The sequence below is a fragment of the Homo sapiens genome, chromosome 12 (genome assembly GCF_000001405.40).
Source record: "Homo sapiens chromosome 12, GRCh38.p14 Primary Assembly".
NCBI lineage: Eukaryota > Metazoa > Chordata > Mammalia > Primates > Hominidae > Homo > Homo sapiens.
Window position 1 is genome coordinate 110,780,197 of NC_000012.12, and position 2,026 is coordinate 110,782,222.

At 46.4% G+C, this 2,026-nt stretch overlaps 1 annotated feature.

Moving 5' to 3' along the window:
- Window positions 407-568: a silencer, noted in NCBI's record as "fragment chr12:111218408-111218569 (GRCh37/hg19 assembly coordinates)". NCBI's record gives its function as "represses an EF-1alpha promoter that drives an FKBP-Casp9 reporter gene in an ReSE screen in K562 erythroleukemia cells {active_cell/tissue: K562}" and the evidence as "EXISTENCE:reporter gene assay evidence [ECO:0000049][PMID:32094911]".

Genomic DNA, 2,026 nt, shown 5'->3' on the forward strand with positions numbered 1-2,026 from the left:
GGGAGGCTGAGGCATGTGGATCACTTCAGCCAAGGAGTTCGAGACTAGCCTGGGCAACATAGTGAGACCTTGTCTCTTAAAAAAAAAAAAAGCCATCAGGATTTTCTGTTCTGCCAAAAAAATCCTGAGAGTCAGAATGTGTTAGGCCTTAATGCAAAACATTCATCTCTTCAGAGGAAAGAGTGGGTTTAAAAAATGTTTTTAATATAAGTAATTACTCCCCAAATGGAAAATTATTTTGTTCATTTTTTTCTTCTTATAACATCAGAACTTTCTGAGCCACACCAAAGACAGTATTCAAGTGTTGTTTATCTACTTTCCACTAACATCTAGCATCAGCGGTTTCTTTTCAAGAGGAGAAAAAAGTTTCCGGGCAAGACTGAGGCCTCTTGCTGGATGTTGTGGGCTGCAGAGCAGGCTGCCATGTAGAAAATGCTAGAACAAGGAAGGAAATCCCCTTGCACCTCCTGTGTGGATGGGTGATGAGGAGTGGCTGCTGGCGGGGCTGTGTGAGAGACAGTTCTGAGGCTGCATCTCCGGGAGAAAGAGTGCTATGATCCATTGCTGATGTCTGCCACAATCAGGGAGGGGGCAGTCACAGTGGGCTTGCCATGTATTTGCCATTCCTATACCAGAATCTAGAACTTGCCTGATATATCAGCATGGTCTGGGATAAGAGTATAAATGGAGGCCACATACCATACATGTAAATATGTAAGTTAGAAAAGTCAGAAATCAGCTGGATGTGGTGGCTCATGCCTGTAATTCTAGCACTTTAGGAGGCTGAGGCGGGAGGATCGCTTGAGCCCAGGAGTTCAAGAACAGCCTGGCCAACATAGCAAAACCCTGTCTCTACAAAAAATACAAAAATTAGCCAGGTGTTTTGGTGTATGCCTGTGGTCCCAGCTACTTGGGAGGCTGAAGTGGCAGGATGACCTGAGCCCAGAAGGTTGAGGCTGCTGTGAGCCGTGCCACTGCATCCAACCTGGGTAACAGAGTGAGACTCTGTCTCAAAAAAAAAAAAAAAAAAAAAAAAAAAGAAAGAAAGAAAGAAAGAAAAGAAAAGTTTGAGGCCAGGCACAGTGGCTCACACCTGTAATCCCAGCAATTTGAGAGGCCGAGGCAGATGGATCACCTGACATCAGGAGTTCAAGACCAGCCTGGCCAACATGGTGAAACCCTGTCTCTACTGAAATACAAAAATGAGCCAGGCATGGTGGCAGGCGCCTGTAATCTCAGCTACTCAGGGGCTGAGGCAGGAGAATTGCTTGAACCAAGGAGGCAGAGGTTACAGTGAGCCGAGATCTCACCATTGCACTCCAGCCTGGGCGAAAGAGCCAGACTCTGTCTCAAAAAAAAAAAAAAAGAAAAGAAAAAGTAAAGTTCAAAACCAAGTTATTCCAATAGCCTGGCCATGGGATCTTCCTCTAGGTCCCAGAAGCCCAGCCCCTGGGATTTCTCTGACAGCCTGTGCACAGGCTAAAGGAGCTGAAGTCTTCCCTGGGCCATCCTTGCCACCCACAATCCTGAGTGGTGACTGGATGTGCAGGGCAAGGCATGGTGACGGGACCTGCGGGGGCCTGCAATGGGGACTTCTCTAGGCGATTTTACTCAGGATTTCCAGGCAGTTCTAAATTACACTATCCCAGTAGCGGGGAGGAAGGAAGCATGGTTATCTGGGGAGTGTGATCTAAGACATCAACTTTGGGCGATTAGAGGCAGTCGGCTTCAAACTGAAGGAGCCATTTTTCCTTCAGTGCCCAGCTCAATGTCTGGCACATAGTAGTTGCTCAGGAAATATTTGTTTCAAAAAAATGAAAGTGTCAATGTCAGTGTTGTAGGATTTTTAAAGATGTTGTAGGACTCTCTCTGTAGTTCAGCTAAGAGCTGGATCATTGTCACACGGCCACAAAAAATTAGGCTTGCAGACAATTTGAAGGGTGAGGAAGGCAGGGTTTATTGGGTGAAACGGAAAAAAGGGAAACAGAGACCCTCCGCAAGGTCAGAGTTCTCCTGACATGCTTCC